This window comes from Homo sapiens, chromosome 3, assembly GCF_000001405.40.
Source record: "Homo sapiens chromosome 3, GRCh38.p14 Primary Assembly".
NCBI lineage: Eukaryota > Metazoa > Chordata > Mammalia > Primates > Hominidae > Homo > Homo sapiens.
Genome location: NC_000003.12, coordinates 86,988,144 through 87,007,721, shown reverse-complemented (window position 1 = coordinate 87,007,721; position 19,578 = coordinate 86,988,144). Strand labels below are relative to the sequence as shown.

Here is a 19,578-nt window from a genome sequence, read left to right as displayed (position 1 = left end):
TCACCTCCCAATACCACCACACTGGTGATCAAATTCCAACATACAGGTTTTGGAGGCACACAAACATTTAGACTCTAGCATGGAGTAAGCAAATATGTTTCCTAAGAAGATTGAAATAATGTGAGCAAGTCATTGATCTCAATCATCTGAAGTCTAAATTGACAGCAGGGAAGGGACATATTTTCATCATGTAATGACTGGGAAGTTAACTGAAATTGAGTTTTTTTGTCCAGTCCAGCTCCTGGACATTAGAATAGTGCTTTTTATAAGAAGGTCTTCATCTCCATTTCCTTGCCCCAGGAATTGCTGATGAGTAGATTCACTATAGGAGAATCATTTGACATTTGGTTTCTACGCTCCTCTAACTAGTTTTTCCAACTTCCAGTTTCCAAGAATTTTCATTTGCACCCTTTTGCTCCCTTATAAATATATGGATTACTTTTCTGCCTTTTGTTCTCCCATGTTAGGATGGACAGACTCTTAGAGAGGAGCATAACCATGCATTAGAATAAAGCCCAAATCCATTAACAATTTAAAACAAGTATTTATTCTTAATTAAAGATAGAGATAACTTTGTTTTAAGAAAATTGATTCTCATGCTTAGCTCAAGTCTAACAGGAAAAAAATAGATGCTTCATGTTATTCTGGGAAGGAAGTATGCCCTGAAAGTTGCGACTGAATGGCTCCTTCTAGTGGAATACAAAGGAAACTGGAACTTTTATATAGAAAACACATGTTGAAGTTTTATATATTATTAGGAGAAAGAATTCACTCAATTTACTTTAAAATTGTTACTTCATTCTATTTTTTTTTCTTTTTTCACTTTTTCCTTTCTATTTCATATTTTCATAACGTATACCCACAAAGCGGTTTGGAAAAATTATTGAGATTCCAGGTGAAAAGGAAAAATACAATTAAATAAGAGCATCTACTGATACAGTCTTTTCCTTCAAAAAGCTGAAAAAATTGAGTTTTTGAAAGGCCATTATAAAATATCCAAATGCTCATTCAAGTATAGAGGCAGTAAACACAAGCTAAAAGGATACTAATAGGGAAATATTGTTCTATTTTTATGACTTAGTTAAGTCTCTCAGTTTCTTTAGTCCTCAGCTTCTCCACTTGAAAATCAAATAACTATACTAGAAAAGCGTATAGTGCTAACAATCTATGAGCCTACCCCATTCCCAGCTTATTCTTATCCTTAATCATTATAACAGTCTGACAGTATATAAAATCCCTCCTATTTATTGACTCTAGACAACTAAAACACTGCGCTGATGAGATTCACACCTGATCCCTTTACCCAGCCAATTACACACGTGCTTACAGTTGGACAGATTTTCTTAATGTCAGATAATCCCATACTAGGTATTTCATAGCAATGATGAAGCAAGAAATAACATTCATATATACATATGTACAAATGAACTTGCCTGGATTGTATGCATAGGACAAAATGGGCACCATTCGTTTTCTGCTTTCTTCTTCTGCTCTATCAAACCTGCTCCTTCTTTGTTCTTATAAATGCATAGATGATTATAATAAGGCTAGATTTTAGTATTGCAGTGGTATGTACATTTTGAAGGAGGGCAGTTGTGAAGCTCTAACCTTGAAATTTCAAAAATCAGCTATGGGTAAAGGAAATCCCAGGAGAATCATTCTTTGGCACCTCTGGAATTATTCAATGTCAATTCTGCTGTCAGAGAATTCAATGTGTTAACATTCAGGCTCTGTAATGTGAATCTTGCCCAAAACAGAGAAGACTGTCTAAAGGCAGCATGCACAAGTCCAAAGGAAATGTGAGCTGAAAGAACACACTTGTATAAAATACAGAGAAAAAAGCAGTCTGACAAGATGTTCAGTATGAGGCTATTTCCTAAAAATTATGTTTAAATAAAAATAGAAGGAAGGAAGAAAGGAAAGAAGAAAAGGAAATTGCAAACAGCAAATATAACAACCATAAAAAAAGTAGTTGAAATCATTGGCTATTTTGTTAAGATCATTCAGTCCTTTAAAAATGATGATTATGAAAACCAATGAGTAACCTGGAAAATGATTAAAAGTTTAAAAGATAGCATTCAAAATGTTATACGTACTATCTAGAAAACCATCTCTAGAATGTATGCAGGAATATTTGTTTCATTTTGTATACTGCTATATGCCCAGCACCTTAAATGGTATCTGACATATAGTAGGTGCTCAATAAGTATGTGTTGTGTGAATTTGTTGATGAATCACTTAAATATTGGAGGAAAAAATACAAGTTAATATGATAATGGTTCTACATTGGGGTATGGAATTATGTGCACATTTATTTAATTTCCTGATTTTCCAAACTCCTCTTTTTTCCCACCTTTTTCTCCATTATATCCCTGCTGATATGCAGTAATATATATTTTTCAGTCTCCTTCTATCCAAATGCATGCCACTTTATATTTACAACCTGGAAAAAAGAGATCATTCTATGAAGAGGGGGACTAGAAATGAACAGAGTATAATTTCTGAAAAACAAAAATCGAGACATAGAGCAGTATATACTTTGTGTAGCTACAGTCATGTCTATATCCAGGGACAGCTACATAGCACAGAAATGACTTCTCTCTCTTTTAGGCATGAGCTAGTTTTTCCATTGTACATTTATTCCACAGCTAATAAAACAGAGCCATTCTTCTTGTTTTTTAATGTTCTGCCAGTGGACATACTGCTAAGAACAATCAGTATGAAATAAATTCTTGTATTTTTCAGATAGAATTAGTCTTTTACCGTGAACTTTGGCCAAGTCAGGCAAATTAAACCTAGACACTAAAGCTTCCATTAGATATGTTACAGCACAGGCATCCTTGTAGATTCCCTGAGCAGATTGCAGTTACAGAAATCAACAAATAGTAAAACAATATGCATTAGCCTCTGGTTTTAATAGTATGTGAGGTCTGGAGAAAGAACTGCACTGTGTTCAAACTCATAATTGCAGCCTGATACATAGCTTGATGCATATAATCACACAGCCTTCTTTTCTGTTTCATAATTTTCCAGCCATCTATTAATCCAATTTACGTCTTCTAGAAATATATATATATATATGTATATATATATATATATATATATATATATATATATGCTCCAACTGTTGTTAGTTGTTTGGTCTTAGATGAGTTTCTAAATTATTTTGACTTCAGTTTCCTCAGGTGCCAAATGAAGGTAACATTTGTAACTATATAATAGTAGTTAGAATTGAGTTTACATACACGGTATTTGAAAAGTTGTGACATATCATGAGACCTCAGTAAGTCTTAGCTCCTTATACTGTGCACTATGCACTAGACAGTGGGGAAGAAATTGAATATGGTGATGAAAAAGATGGGATCTGGTTCATGGTAACTTGAAATCTAGCAGGTATGATTATTGCAAGACAATTTCTATGGATCTCTAGCGTTTCTGTGCGTCTTGGGAACGGAAGTACTGACAGCCTTTTGTTCTATCTTTTCAGAGAAGTTTCAGGTTTGTATAGAAGACAACTTTTGAAGATAGAAAGTGTCTCATTTGAGGGCAGAGACCAGGCTTGTTTGCTATCCATTATGAAAATAAGTAATGTCTTCCTCAGGGACAACGTTTGGGCAGGCTTGCTTGCAGCCCATTCTAAAAGCCTGAGATTTCCTAAATTTGGTATTCCTCCCCTGTAATCTAATGCAACCCGTTGCGTGTGCGGGCATCACTTGGCCTTCCTCACATCTGCTTATAGGAATTGGGACTCAGGCAACCAGTGTAAATGCTGATATTTTGGTTACTGCTATTGATGTAAGCGATAAACCGTCCTTTGTTTCTGATTCAGGAGTCTTTTGCCTTCTGTTAGCATCCATGAAACTAGGGCAAGCTAACTTGTTATCTTACAAGTAGGATAAAAATCTCAGATTATTTACAATTCTTAAAAATCATTAGGCAAGTTATAAGAAATATAAAACTGTGTATAAATAAAAATGCAAAAATATGCATACACACTAATGTATATGGAAAAAATGAGATGGCTGAATATTATAGGAACTTTAATGTGCAGTAGGATTTAGGATCTATTATTAAATTGATCCTAAAACTTTTAGGATCAGAAGCAAACATAAAAATCACCTAATCAAAACAACCAGTCAATCTGTAGAGGCCATGCTGATCTTGCCTACCAATTTTTCTTCATTGCATACTAGAATAGTGGGCACATAGTATGTACTCAATGAAGATACGTATTTTAAGAAATGTAAAAGTAAATTTAAGGAAACATTTATTGAATAAATGTATTCTTTTTACTGCTCAATAATTTCCATAATAGAATAGGTACTTCTGCATGGGAAATCCAGTTCATTGCTAAATATCTGTTCCAGGAAATTCTTCCTTACTATATGATTCAAGGTAGGAGAATATGCTGTGATAAAATAAAAATCACAAAATATTAGTGATGGCATTACATAATAAAAATTTTATTTCTCCCTCATATCACCATTTGATATGTGTAAAATGCATGCCTTCCTCGTGGCTTTTCCCTTCAAATCATATCTCAGGAATTGGGGCTTTTCTATAATGTTGCTCTATCCAGAAGTAAAATGAAAATGGCAATGTTTTGTCTGCCATACTTAATTTGAACTAAAGTGAGATTTCTTAAATATAATTCACCGATTCTAATTCATTCTGCTCTTGGAACAAGCAACAACAATAGCAAAAGCTTACTTACTTTTCCCTATAAATATGATAGATATTTAAATATTTATTTCCTCTTAGTCTATTTTTTTGTAGGCTAAGTAATCATATTTCATGTAATCAGGCCTCACAGGAAATCATTCCCAGACACCTTTCCATTTTGATTCTTTTCCTAAGACCATCCCTTAGGTTGACAATGACATTTAAAGAGTGGTACCAAGAACTGAATTCAGTATCTAAAATATTCTCAGACAAACAGATTAGATGAGCCCAAGTTTCCATGGTTTAAACTCTAGAAAGTCCAATGCTCTAGACTTTCATATATCTCATGAGAATTATAGGACACCAGAAAGGACAATATTTTTAAATATTAACCGATGCTTGCCATACCTCATTCCATTTTACCCCGTTACCTCTCCTCCATTTAGGTCACCAGACGGACTTGAGGCAGGCATTGCCTTAAGGGGAAGTGGCAGCTATGGAAACTGAAAAACAAAACCATCCAACTCCTGACTTTTAAGCTTTAAAATTAAAGCCACATAAGAATACTGGAAGATCTAGTTTTTCTTGCCTTTGAAGAGATAAGAACTCTCTGGGCTAGAAGAAATAGCGAAGAGTTGTACAGGAAACTAAAGAGTAGAGAATTGGTGAAAGCATATGAGAGGGGGCACCTCTGGCCTGTCCACTCCTCTCCTGTCCCCACCCTTGGAGTTGGATCCTAAAAGGGAAGAGGAGAAATAGAAGCCAGTCATAAATGGAATTTTACAGGATGGAATGCCTGTGCCTCTGCTCTCTGCCTAGCATGCCAAGAGGCAGCAGACTCCCAAGAATGTCACCATGGCAAGGGGAAAGAGTAGAGATGGCTACGTGGGGTGTCAGGACTAAGAACCTGAGGCAACCACAGCGTCTCCTCCATACCATGGCCCCACATGTGCACTCCCCTACCCCACCAAATAGCCTAATAAACATTTCAGGCAGAAGAAGGGAAACATCTGAAATGTCTAGTTTAACCTCAAACCATTGTGTTTATCCAGAAAATGTCAAGAAAATCTTAGAGTGGTGACATAGTTTACATGTGCTTGACTAAATCACATTTTCTACCTTCATGAAGACCGGAAATTGTACTGGGAATACATTGTGTCTCAGAAAAATAGACTGTCAACTCTTCAGAATTTCCTGAACACAACTTAATAACGTTCTGACAACTGTAGTTGCTTGTCTCAGAAATGGAAAAGGTCTCACTATGTCTCAAAGGTGAGGGTGTTAAAGTGGATTTGGATACCGAATTTGGATTTGCAAGATAAAGGTTTAAACTACCACCTCTGTGTATTTGTCCCCATGATAATTTCTCTCTTAGCAACAGTTTACCATTAAAAACATGTACATATTCTGAATTTCTCAAAGGCAGAATAAGGATTTTACATGAGGTAAGTGCCCGGGAAAGGGCTTTATATATTTAAATTGCCATAAATATAACATAATTAGTCTATTTTTTAAGGTGGCTGTGGTCTAAAAATTAGGCTAAAAGGTAATATAAGTGATGTGATTTTACATTTTGATATTGGGTATAGAGAGACACTTTAGTTCAGTGAATCTCAAATTTTAATGTGCTTGGAAGATCTTATCAAAATGCAGATTCAGATTCTGCAGATTTGAACTGGGGCCCTGAGATTACTCATTTCTAACTCAGGTAATAACAATCCTGCTGGACCATAGACCACACCTTGAGTAGCAACGCTCTAGTTAATGTCTAATTTTTGCACATTTCCTGAGTTTGAAGTAACAATTAATATTCAGCATCGTATCTCACATTGTCCAAGAATAGCTCCCAATATCTTTATCTCTCCCATTTGTTCACATTGAGTTCCTCATATTCTCATCATTCCTGAAGTTGATGATGTCATGACCTGATTACCAAATGCTCAGAAATTTCTTTTAGGTTTTCTTTTTAAATTGTTTTTATCTATACAGAACATGGTGTGCTCCCAAGGAAAATATAAACAAGCAGTTCAGTCTTTGAGAATTTATGAGATTTAATTCTACAAAGTTGGCAGCGGGCGTGCCATTATTTCAGTTATTCACTTTTAAGAAAGAATAAAATTTATATTTGGATTCTACAAATAAGATAACTGGGCAAGTATTATATTAAGGCATTAGGTGTTGTTTTATTTTAGTTGGTTTGTTTACTTTCACTGTCCCTGTCCCCTTGAGATTCCAAGAAGCTGGCATATGTAGGGGACAGGTTATTATCACCCACAGTTTTTCCTTCTAGTGAAGATCATTGTTGTCTAGAGTACAGAACATCATCTTAGATTTCAGAGATGATGTTATCTGCTCAGTTTCTAGGAACAAATTGTAGACAAGAGACTATGACTTTTTATAATAGAATGGGTAAAATGATCTAGAACGGGCAAAATTACACATCAACTTTCTTCAACACCCTCACCTTTGAGACATAGTATGCACACTGGTTAAGGGCTGAACTGTGGAAACAGATTGACTGGCTGGATAACGTTGAAAAAATCACTTAACCACTTAGTGCCTCAATTTCCTAATCTGTATGATGGGGAAAATTATTGTTCTTACCTCATGAGGCTGTTGTGAGGAGTAAATGAGTTAGTATGTGTAAAGCACTTAAGACCTGCCTACAATATTGTAGGCACTCTAAAGGTTAACTGTTATCATCATTATTACTATTGCTGTTATTGCTGTTACTTTATTCCTTTATATTCATCAAGTTTATGTTATGGTTAGATAATTTCAGGAAATCTGTCCCTTACTATACCACCAAGATGAACTTGATTTTGCAAGGCCTCAAGATACAAACATGTGAAGATGAGATGCTAGTATTTATAGTTACTGAAGGTGATGCACAGCTTCTGAAATAATTTATTTTATATTTTTCAGTTTTACTGTAATTGTACTATACTAACAAAACTGCTGTAGTTAGAATTCTTAGAAAATAAAAAACTTCAAAAGTATTGCCCATCACATTCAACATTTTGACATTATTCTGTAGATATTTTTTTCAAAGAGACATCTACTTGAAGACATAAGTTACTCATAAAAGTAAATTAGGCAATTAAGCTAAAAAATAATGCAACATATATTTCTTGTATAATGTTCACATAAAAATTCTTAGCATCTCTGTTCTTCTTATTTGGTGTTGAAAGAGACCAAAGCAAGAACATTTGTAGATTAACAATCCCACAATATTCATAGATCACAGGTGTAATTGTTAAATTCAAATAAAATTCAGCAGGTACAAACTTTGTGCCTACCTTTTGTGCTGTGTGAGTCATCCAAGAGGTATCTAATTCTGCCTTTTCCTTTAAGGAATTTGTCTTCTCATTAGGGAGACAATTACGATAATGGAAATGATTGGAGCAAAATAAGGAGCAACAATAATAATTACATACAATCAAGTCTCCAAATGTAAGATGCAGGCAACACAAATTATAACAGTATAGGGAAGTCAATTTTCAAATGTTAAGATACACTTCCTAAAGGAGGTACTACTTATAATGGGCTTTGGAAATAGATGGGATTTTGAATATATTCCAGGAATCAAAATCCACAGGGACAATAATGCTAAGACATCCTCTCCAGTGACCTATTTATACAATGAGAATGAATTGGGCAGTTGGGATGCAACTGAGTTACTTTTAGGATGTGAAAATACATGCATACCTCATTTTTGGATCAAACACAAAACTGAAAATCTGGAAACAGCAACAACAGAGCAGAAGATTTTTGTTTTTCATAACAGTACTTTATTTTCATAAAAGCTATTGGCCTTCAAAGTGGTTCAAAAAAGCTTTCCTTATATACAAAGCTTCTTAAACATAAATTACTTAAAAGAATTGTGATTTTCTCTCAACGTTCTCAGCTGACACCTCTCGTAGAAAGCGAGAGCACATCTCATAGTCTTACTTTGTGCTGGGAATTCGTGTGGGATAGCTTTTCCTTCCTGCTTTCTCTCTTCTGAATGATAGCAACATTGCCTCTGGCTTCATTTCTTCCAAAGTTTTTATTTTTCTTTTCTCTTTTTCTTTTTACATTTTTTATTTTAAAATATTTAAATCAAATTATAAAAATAATGTATTACAAATGAGATATAAATGCAAACCAGATACTTCTGGCTGCTGTGATTTATTAGTCCAATTGGTCTTTGTCTGTGGTTAGTTAGCCTGGTGGGTTAGAACACAGTGCTAATGATGCCAAGATCAAGGGTTTAATCCCCTTGGCCTACTTAGCTTTGTTCCATTCCATGGACAGAACTGTACTCATACCCAGGCCAGACTTCATGTGAATGTATTCCACTTGTCAGAGGCCGAGAGAGACAATGTGGTTACATTAGCCCAGATCTGTCATTACTATGAGGAAAACTAGCAAAGAAACAAACAACAAACTCAAAGTATGCAATGAACTCAAGGTCTGTCATTTGTGAAGACAGATAACCCTATTATACAGTTAAGTACATATTCTTTGCTAATATTTTAAAAATAATTAACATTTTAACAGCACATAGTTAAATGATGAGGTGATGTTATCTGAACATTTGTTAGACTAACCTGTATTTTTTTAAACTTCATTTTAATTACAAATAATAATGGTATACACTTAAGGGTGTACAATGTGATGTTATGATATATTGTAGAATGTAGAATATGTATATATTGTGGAATGATTAAATCAGGTTAATTAACATATCTATCACCTCACTCTGCTGATAGATCCTAAGTAGTGTCTTGACATCTTTTCATCTCACCTCACTATTTCTCATCTTGGATTCCTCTATGTTTAAGTATCTATAAAATATACTAGTAATATAGTATCATACACATATATTTGCATATGTGTGTGTGTATGCCTTCTAGTGAAATCCTGTAGCTCCAGGCAAATTCATGAAAAAATATGAAAAAATTTAATGAAATTATGGAAAAAAATCATTTAACAGAAAGAGTGTGCTGACTCTTTCAGGAGTGTATGCTAATGGTAGATAGAGGTGCTAAGAGAGGGTCCTGGCCAACCCTGGCTGGGCTCCCAGCGAATGAGAATTTTGTGTGAAGCAGGTGCTATCATTTGCTATGTGTCTCTGCTGAGTCAACCAGAAATATTTAAAGTCTCGTTTTTCATTAAATAAATCAAACCATGAAGATTGAAAGTAGCCCATCATTAATTGTTACAGTTGAAACCCCAGCCTCAGAGTCTTTATATGAGGTGTACTCTAACAACCTCATAAGAGTCATTAATAAGAGAAGGGAGTACTTCACTAGATGTTGTAAACTCATCAGGAAAAAAAAAAAAAAAAAAAAACCTCGAATTAGAGTACATATAAAATACCTTCAAGAAGTACTACCTAAGGATGAGAAAAGGGCACAGGACCAAATACTAAGATACTCAGCGTTTAAAGTTTAGGTAGAGGAGGATGTAGCAAAGGAAACGGGAAGAACAGCCAAAGTATAAAGAAACAGATGCAGACAGGAGGATACCATGAAAAGATGTCAGTAGAAGAAAGAATTTTAAGAAGGGATTAATTCACAATGGCAAAATTTATAAAGCATCAATTAGGATGAGGTTTTAACAGTTAACTTTGAATTGGGCAACATGTTCAGTATTATTGACCTTAATATATGTTGGTGAGGTGATGGAGCAAAATAGGGAACAGAGATGGAGAACGTGGATAAACTTGAATTGGACAGATATGAGAATGGTGGACAAGACGGGAAGCAATAGTTGCCAAGAGGATGTGGGTAAGCACATTTAGAGAAACATAGTAAAGTTTCAGTGCCATTGAGGAGGGCAGGTGATCCTGAATGACAACTGATTAAAATGATCTTCATTCTTACATGCAAGTTTTGACCTCCTGTTTTTACTTCTATCCCATTGGCACCATTGATACCACTCTTAGATCCAGGCAACTAGAGGCCTTCCCTGGCCCTGAGCTTTACAGTACCCCTCACTAGCTCTCTTCCTGTGGTGGCTTTCCCCATAGGAAATTGTAGGGCAAAGGGGAATTGCTCACCCAAAACCTCTTCCAGCGTCTCCTTCACCATCCTACCATTGTATTTGGGTTCTATTGTTACTGTAACCAATTACCACAAACTTAGTGGCTTTAAATAAGGTAAATTTAGTAACTTATGGTTCTGCAAATCAGAAGTACAAAAACAGGGCTCACATGTGTCAGCAGGGCTGTGATCTTTCTGGAGACTTTAGGAAAACCCATTTTCTCGCCTTTTTCAGCTTCTAAAGGCTGTCTGCATTCCTTGGCTGATGATTCAATTCCCCTCTATTTTCAAAACTAGCAATGGCCTGCAGAGTCATTTTTCTTTCTTTGCATCAGTATGGGAGACTCCTCTGTCCCTTGCCTCCCTTATATGAGGAGGCCCACCTCATAATGATTACATTGGGCCCGTCCAAAGAATCAGGCTTATCTTCTTAAAATCCTCTCATTAGCAAGCCTTAATTCCATCTGCAGTCTTAACTCCCCTTTTCTAAGTAACAGAACATTCAAGAGTTCCAGGAATTAGAATGTGGACATCTTTGGGGAGGGGCATAATTCTGCCTAGAACAACTATGTTTCTTTACTCAAGACCTGACAATTTCCTGCACAGATGACGCAGGCCCATTTCCGCAGAGCCATGGTTCCTAGAGCAGGCTGCATTGTCAGTGGACTCAGCTTAGGGTAAAGGACTGGTCAAAACTCAACTGTTTGGTAGCAGGGGGCAGGTAGAGGAGATTTAAATACTTAGTTTGAGATATCTACATGTACGTACTGCAGGGTCCAGGGAGTTCTCTTACATTGGGATCCCAAGTTAAAGGCAGGGGTGGCTGTCACCACTCAAAAAATAAGCTGCCCCCACTTTTTACCCTATCTTATTCCAAAATATATTAGGAAAACCCACTTCAAGTTATCCCTCCAAATAAAACTAGAGGCGGGGGGTGGTTCACCTCACTAATTTCCAGTTGGAGAATTTGGAAACAAACATTTTGAGAAATTTGGTGGTGGGGGCAAAAATGTAGTGACTGTAAAGTCACAATTCAGAAGAGTTGGAAATGTTTAAGTCCATTTATTTAGATCAGGTACCACATCAGAATTGAACCAGAAAAGCGGTGGAGTAGTGTAAAAGGATAAATCAAAGAAGGGTAAACTTTGAGGAACTTTAGCTCAGAACTACATAGAATTAAATTCCATACCATTGCTGCTTTTTCCAAGTAATTGTGACACCCTTACATAGCAGAGACGACAATGAGTACACCAGCGGTCAGATCACATTCTCTGATCTGAGTGACTCACTCTTGCTAAATGCAATTGGCCCGCATCCCCACCCCATACACACACTCCTCTTCTTCAACTCCAAGTTGACCCAAGGACGATCTGATCAAAAACTTCTTCCTTTGTATATGTATGTGTGTGTGTGTGTGTGTGTGTGTATATATATATATTATATATAATATATATTATATATATATTATATATAATATATATTATATATATTATATATAATATATGTATAATATATATTATATATATAATATATATATACACACATACATAAGTAATATCTAGGAATATGTACACACATGTATAATGTATGTATGCATATACATATGCATATGTATTTGTTTATATATCTTTATTATGCAATTATGGAAAGAGAACTAAATCAAGAGTCAAGAGAAACAGGACTTTGGTTTTAGTTCTGCCACTAGTTCCCTAGAAGACATTAATCAGATCATATATTTACTTATCTATGAAAAAGGATGTTTTAAGCTTGATGATCCTTTTTATTATTTTCCACTTTAAAACCCTAAATAGTTACCCAGGGGAAGTCAGGTACATCTGCTTTCCTACTAGAACTCAAATGTAGATTTCCCTAACATGAATTATCGGAATTTTTATTAATGACCTCACTAAGACTGCAGGCTTTGACAAGCTATTTTCTCTCTCTGTCCACTTCTGTAGATTCTAAGTCTAGGTAGAATTAATCTTTACTCTCTTATCTTCTTCCAGCAGTACACAATATAGAAACAAAGAAAGGTATCAAAAAAGATATTGCATTGTAGGAAGATTTTGCCAAACACCTACAGACTTTTGTGTCCATGACGTATTAGTACCAAATAACTTTTTTTTGTCATAGAATAAATATTTGCACTAGAGGCCATAGGGAGCACGGAAGATGCAGCAATGAGGGGTATGGACATGTTGAATCAAGTTCTGGCTTTATTTTATCATTTGGAAAATATATATAGAATGTCTTCGAAGTGTTAGATATGGAGATGAACAAGATATAAATAACCTCTGCCAAAGTCTAGCTAAAAAGACAGATATTAAACTCATAATTGTACAAAAAAATCAACTACAGATAAAAGTTATTTGAAAAAAGTTGGAGGCATTAAACATTTGAACAGGAGGTTTGGCATTGAGAAGTGGCTGTCCTCACAAATTTGCTCTGTGTCCTAATTCAGTCACTTTATATTCTAGGTCCTATTTTTTTTTAACATCATAAGGATTTTCTCAATCTAACATACAGCAGAAAGCCTAAGACAGAGTTTGAAATCATATTCTACATTATAGCTTCACTGATTTTATATGTGCTCAGATCCCACCAAGAATTTGTAAGTTATTCTAATAGTTTTTGTTTCTCCTCCTATTATATACTTTACTTATTCAAAGAATATTTACTAAGCCAGATATCATATGATTGAAATTTAGTGAAATTTAGAGATAAAAGTCACAGTCTCTCCTCTCAAGCAGCCATGGTCATATTGGGGAAACAAGCAAATAAGCAACTTCAAATCAAGTAGTTAATTATTAGTATGATGGGAGCGTATTCTTAAAAGAACAAGAGCTGGTGAAAATAGGAGCATTAAAGCTGATCCTCATCGGATGTTTTGGAAGACAATTACATGAAGAGCAAGAAGGAGTTAACAAGTGAAGAGGGTGAGGGATGTGTTGGTGCAAATGCTCTGCTCATATGTAAAATGACATGCTGGTAGAAAGTACCACGGCTTCTTCGCAGAATGCAGATCTCAATTCAGATAGCTGGTAAACATTTGCAGGAGGTAGTGACATGGGCAGGGATCAGAATCTGAAGGTTAAAGAGTTGTTTCTACAGACTGCGGGATGTGACTGTGAAATTTTTAAAAGAAGAATGAATCATCATTGCACAGTTGGATTTGCAGTGGCTGGGTCATTAAAGAGTAGTATAAACTATGAAGAACAGGAAGAAGTCTCGCCTTGGGACCCGGAAATCACTAAGAGTCTCTTGCAGGAGTCTGAGTGAGAGATGCCGAGCAAACTAACGATTATAGCAACAGAGATAAGGAGAGAGTCAGTAGAAATGGAAAATTTGGGGTCAACTTGACTCCAAGACCAGGTGTGGGGACTGTGAGGAGAAGGAAGGAGTGCCAGAAGATTCCCACATTTCTAGCTGGGACAACTGGTAGTGGGGGAGTTTCAGTAGAGATGAAGATTAAAAAAGAGGATCAAACTGGGGACATGAGACAATCAGTACTATTAGGATTGAGGTCCTTATGTAACACCTATGTGGAGCTACCTAGAAAGAACTGAATAGATAAATCTGGAACACAGGAAGGGATCTGATCAAAGGAGGTCAATTTGGGAAAAGACAATAATAAACGTTTAAAGTAAATTATGAAACATATTATTGCTGGAAATACTCTTGTACTACAAAGAGCACAATTTAAAGTCCAAGAACTGTGCAAACCCTTAATAAATATGTTTTTAATATTCAGTGATAAAATGATTGAATAAAAGCTGTTGCGGCGTAGCAAAAAGTTCCTATCCAATTTTTATAGTGTCAGTGTGTGTGTGTATGCCTGTGTGTTTATACATGTGTATGTATCTGTGTACCTAGACATACACACAGACACTTATGTAAACATTAACGATATATGATAACTGTATATCTGCATTAGTGTGCTAGGGCTGTCATAAATACCACAAACTAGGTGGCCTAAAAAAACAAATTAAGCTGGGCATACCGTGGCTCACGCCTGTAATCCCAGTACTTTGGGAGGCCGAGGTGGGCGGATCACCTGAAGTCAGGAGTTCAAGATCATCCTGGCCAACATGGTGAAACCCTGTCTCTACAAAAGTACAAAAATTAGCCGGGCATGATGGCGGGTGCCTGTAATCCCAGCTACTCGGGAGGCTGGGGCGGAAGAATCACTTGAACCGGGAGGAGGTTGCAGTGAGCCGAGATCGTGACATTGCACTCCAGCCTGGGCAACAGAGCGATACTCCGTCTCAAAAAAAAAAAAAAAAAAAAAAAGTTAATTTTTTCATAGTTCTGGAGGATAGAAGCACAAGATAAGGTGTGGTCAGTGTTGGTTTCAAGGTGAGACCTTTCTTCTTGGCTTGTAGGTAACTCACTATGACTTCAGATGGTCTTTCCTCTTTGACAGAGCAGAGAGACAGGGAGTGGGGTTTGGGGGAGACATAGATATCTCTGGCGTGTTTTCTCTTCTTATAAGGAACCTAGTCCTATTAGATTAGGGCCCAACCTTTTAAATCTCATTTAACCTTATCACCTCCTTATATGTCCTGTCTTCAAATACAGCCATATTGTGGGTTAGGGCTTCAATATATACATTTTTGGGAAGACATAATTCAAACTATAAAAACATTAGTGCATTTGACTTTCAAACTGACTTTTTCTCTGAGAAAAGATAGACTGTAAAAATGAGAGATTGCTGTGAGTCATAAAAGAGGATGCCTACGTATAAGGAGAGATATGTTTGCTGAATCTCAGAGCTAGAGTTTGCTCATTTATAAAATGAGGCCCAGTGCGGTGCCTCATGCCTGTTATCCCAGCACTTTGGGAGACCGAGGCAGAAGGATCACTTGAGGCCAGGAGTTGGAGACCAGCCTAGGTAACATAGCAAGACCCCTTCTCTATAAAAAAAAAAATTAAAAAAATTACCTGGGCGTGGTAATGCACGCCTGTAGTCCCAGCTACTCCAGAGGCTGAGATGGGAGGATCTCTTGAGCGTGGGGGTGGTAGCTGCAGTGAGCTGTGCTCATGTCACTGTACTCTAGCTTGGGCGGCAGAAGGAAACCCTATCTCAAAATAAATAAAATAATGTGAGTATAATTATTTCTACTGATTATGTCAGAATACAAGTATATTCTCACAGACGTTTTTTTCCCCATTTTGGAGAGGGTCAGATCCAATTGCAAAGAGATAAACCTTTATTAGCGAATGGGCTTAATCAACTACCCTTTATTGCTCTGTGAAAACCAGGCTGTAAAAGCCAGAAATGGTGGACGTCTCACAGCAGTGTCATACCATGAAGATGTAAACTTAAAGCAGAGATTGCTTGTGGAAAACTGTGTTGCATTCTTGGCATGTGGGCACTTGCAGAGATGTTAACTTTCACTTATGATTATTTTAATGTAGGAGCTAATCCCCGTGTATTCTGCGCCTGCTCTGTTTTACCCCTTTGTACACTCGGCTTTTGTTTGGTCCCAGCCTCTGAGTTGGTGTTCCCTGTAAAATCTCCTTGGAGTAGGGAAGCCCTCGCCCTGGCGGCCAGGTGACAGAGACAGGGTGGGAACCTGCCGAGCCTTGAGGGCGCGGAGCCTCTGCATACCATTCCCCTCCCACCACCATCCCATGCTGGGAGGCGGAGAGGGCTGCAAACTTCGCTCCAATCCGCAGCCAGCCTTCCCCGGGGTCCCCCTGCAGGGTGACCCGCCCGCTGCAAAGCGAGTTGGAGAAACTTTGCAAAGTTCCGCGTCAGAGCCTGGGGAGGCAAAGTGCTCCCCCTTCTCCCCGGCGTTCCCCCTCCCTCTGCCCCCGCCTCCCTGTCCTCGCACAGCCGGGAGCACCCGTGATAGGACGAGCCCCGGGCGTGCATTGTGTATATGCAAACCGGAGCTGGGCTCCCCACGGCTGCCCGACCCGGGCCTGGGCTGTGGCTGTGACTGGCGCTGCCGTGGGCGCCGCAGCCCTCGCGGGAGCCGGACGCGGTAATGCCCCAGCGGCGCAGCGGGCGGCTGCGTCCCTGAGCCGCTATATAAGCGCGGCAGGGAACATCCGGAGGGGCTGAAGATGAAGGTGCCCGCGCATGGGCCCCCGCTGATTGCCAGTCCCTCCCGACCCCGCGCCCCGCGCGGAGCCCGAGGCCGCCGAGGACCCGCCTTCGCCGCAGTAGCAGCTGGAGCAGCGACAGAGGCGGCAGCTGCGGCGGCGGCGGCGCCCGCGCCCCTCGCGCCAGCGCGTAGAGCGGCGGCGGCAGCTCGGGGGCCGCCACTGCCCCGGCTGCCATGAGTTGTGCGGAGGTGATGTATCACCCCCAGCCTTATGGAGCGTCCCAGTATCTGCCCAACCCCATGGCAGCGACAACCTGCCCCACAGCCTACTATCAGCCGGCGCCCCAACCTGGCCAGCAGGTGAGTCACCGGACGGGCAGCCTGCTGGGGGCGGGGGCGAAGGGCATCGAGAGTATCGGTCTGGGGCTCGGCGACGTCCCGCCGGCACGCGTGGCGCAGAGGATGCTCTGGGATCTGCGGGAGCGTCCTTGAGCAGAAAGCCATCCCGAGAGAGCCGGGAAGGGAGAGCAGCAGGGTGGACGGGTGGGTGAGGCATGACCTAGCTGGGGGCTTCATTGAGCTGTGGTCACCGGAGCTCAGAGGCTGCTCCTCCTAGGCACCCTAGCTCTTAGGACTCAGTTCTCTGAAGCTCACCAAGGGCATCTATCTTAGGACCATGTGAGTAAACTTCCTTTCAACCAACTATTTTGTTTATTTGGAAAGATGGAATGTTTCAGGGTTTTATTGATGAGGAAGATGAAGTGCGCTGACAGAGGTAGGGGAAGCTACCTGGAGAGTGAGTTCACGAAATGATCTGGGACTTTCATGGGGGAACACTGGTCTAGCATAATGTCTATCGGGTGTTACTAGAACTTCTCCACAGAATCTTTCTCCCGGTGACTGTGACTTAGAGGACAGGGATGGATTCCAAGGTTCTTCATTCATTTTTTAATTCCAGCAAAGCACAGAGTTTGTACGTGTTCAGTCTGTTGACAGTGGGTCCCTCGGCCAAAAGGTTACCTTGAATCTCTGGATGCTGAGTCTCCACTCTTCCAAGAGTAACTGAAGATGTCCATAATAAGGGGTCGTGAACTGAGGAGATGATATAGTTACTTTAGAAGGAACAGTAGAGTTCTGGGGAATTTGGCACGAGGCGCCCTTGGACATTACTCTCTGGATACAACGGAGAGTGTGCCAAGGCTTAGTTAGTGCTACATTAAAATAAAAAATGTATGTGGCAAGGGCTGTACCAAAATAGAGTCCACCTCAGACTATGGGAATTAGGGTGGGCGGATTTGGAGAAACTTAAAAAAAATAACTAGATTTGGTTAGGAAATTACCATCCATAGAATATATTGATTTATTTCTTTTTACTTTCTTAGGTACCACATGTTTTATTGCAAACCTTCTTAGGTTTGGGCTGTTAATTAATCTGACATTTTACTTTCTGTATTTCCTCTACTTCTGTCTCTTTGCTAGAATTACAGTGCTACTCTTTAGAAAGAAATCTAACTTTCCGTTTAGAATTTAGGAACTATGAAATTCAGCTAATTCTGGAAGGGTACATGCCCCAGATTCATCTGCTAAATAGTACCAGCTTAACCAGAACCAATTAGGGCAAAAGAGGAAGGAGCCCTACTTTCTTGCTATCCTCTTAAAAAAAATATTCAGCAGCACCAGCATTTCAAAGCATCTCTGATATTACAGAGGTCTTCAATTATCATTTGGAATGTGGATGAGCAACAAACTAAAACTTCTCTACATGTTCAGAAAGATACTTTCCTCCTTTATAAAATAACAAACTAGTAGAAGTTGTTTCAAATATGGCTTTATTTTTTAGGGTTGTGAAATTAATGAATCTGTGGTGTGGAGTTAATACTGTAACACTTTTTTTTGAGCTAGAAAATAACATTCGGTATCAGAGAAAATGGCAAATTGCCAATCATAAAAGTTTTCAATAAGAAATGACTCCAGTACTTTATATAATGTTTGCAATAGCCCTGAGACTCGGTCCCCAAATTCATTTCTTTTGCTAAAACCGTCAACATACTGAAGACAACAATTTTAAAAAGTAAAAAATAAAATAAAATAAAAATCAGGAAAACTCTGACCATTGAGCTTCTTAAAAAGAAAACAATTTATCTACATTGATTGGTTACATAATGATCAACTTCTATATTTTGGGCTTTTGTAGACATTGCTTAACTAGATGTTAGGCTGAGTGAGCCATAGGGAGGTGCTTGGAAATTTTCATGTTGCTTTTTCTTCTTTTTCTTCTCCTTCTTCTTCTTCTTTTTTTTTTTTTTTTTTTTTTTTTTTTTTTTTTTTTTTTTTTTTGGTCAAGTAAAGAAACTGTTTGACCATAACTGGCTAACGAAATAAAAAAAAAAAGACTTGACAGTGTAACTACTGTTCTTTTAGTGTCAGAAGTTTATTTTGATGACCTACATTTTCTATTGGAAAAGAGAGTAAATCAGGAAATTCTTATCAGGCTGACAGCATTTTTAGACTATGCAATGCGTGGGTGAAGTGGGACTAATATTGACTTGGCCCTAATGCAGTCATCCGAGAATACATATTTTGGTTGTTTTTGCATTCCATAAGGTTTTATCATTATTATCCATGAAGATTGTTTTCTCCGTACATGGGAAGTGACCCCTAATAGCATCTTGCCTGGGAGACAAAAGTAAGGGCTACAACTCCTACTGAATTTGAAAAATTGATTTTTGGAGAAGGAAAAAATGGAAAAGGAGCGAAGAAAAGTAACAGCAATCAAGAAATTTTAATAGCCATTTAAAAAATGCTAGAAAAGACAGCATTAAAGTTTTATATTA

General features: G+C 38.2%; 1 protein-coding gene across 4 annotated transcripts in view; it reads left to right on the top strand.

Annotated features, from left to right (window-relative positions):
* Positions 1 to 16,572: 16,572 nt before the first annotated feature.
* Positions 16,573 to 19,578, top strand: part of VGLL3 (vestigial like family member 3) — a 53,177-nt gene continuing 50,171 nt past the window's right edge. For all 4 annotated transcript variants that reach the window (NM_001320494.2, XM_006713138.5, NM_016206.4 and 1 more), the window contains exon 1: positions 16,573 to 17,104. In NM_001320494.2, the coding sequence (NP_001307423.1) occupies positions 16,979 to 17,104 (126 nt within the window). In that variant the 5' untranslated portion in view covers positions 16,573 to 16,978. The remainder of the gene's footprint in view (positions 17,105 to 19,578) is intronic.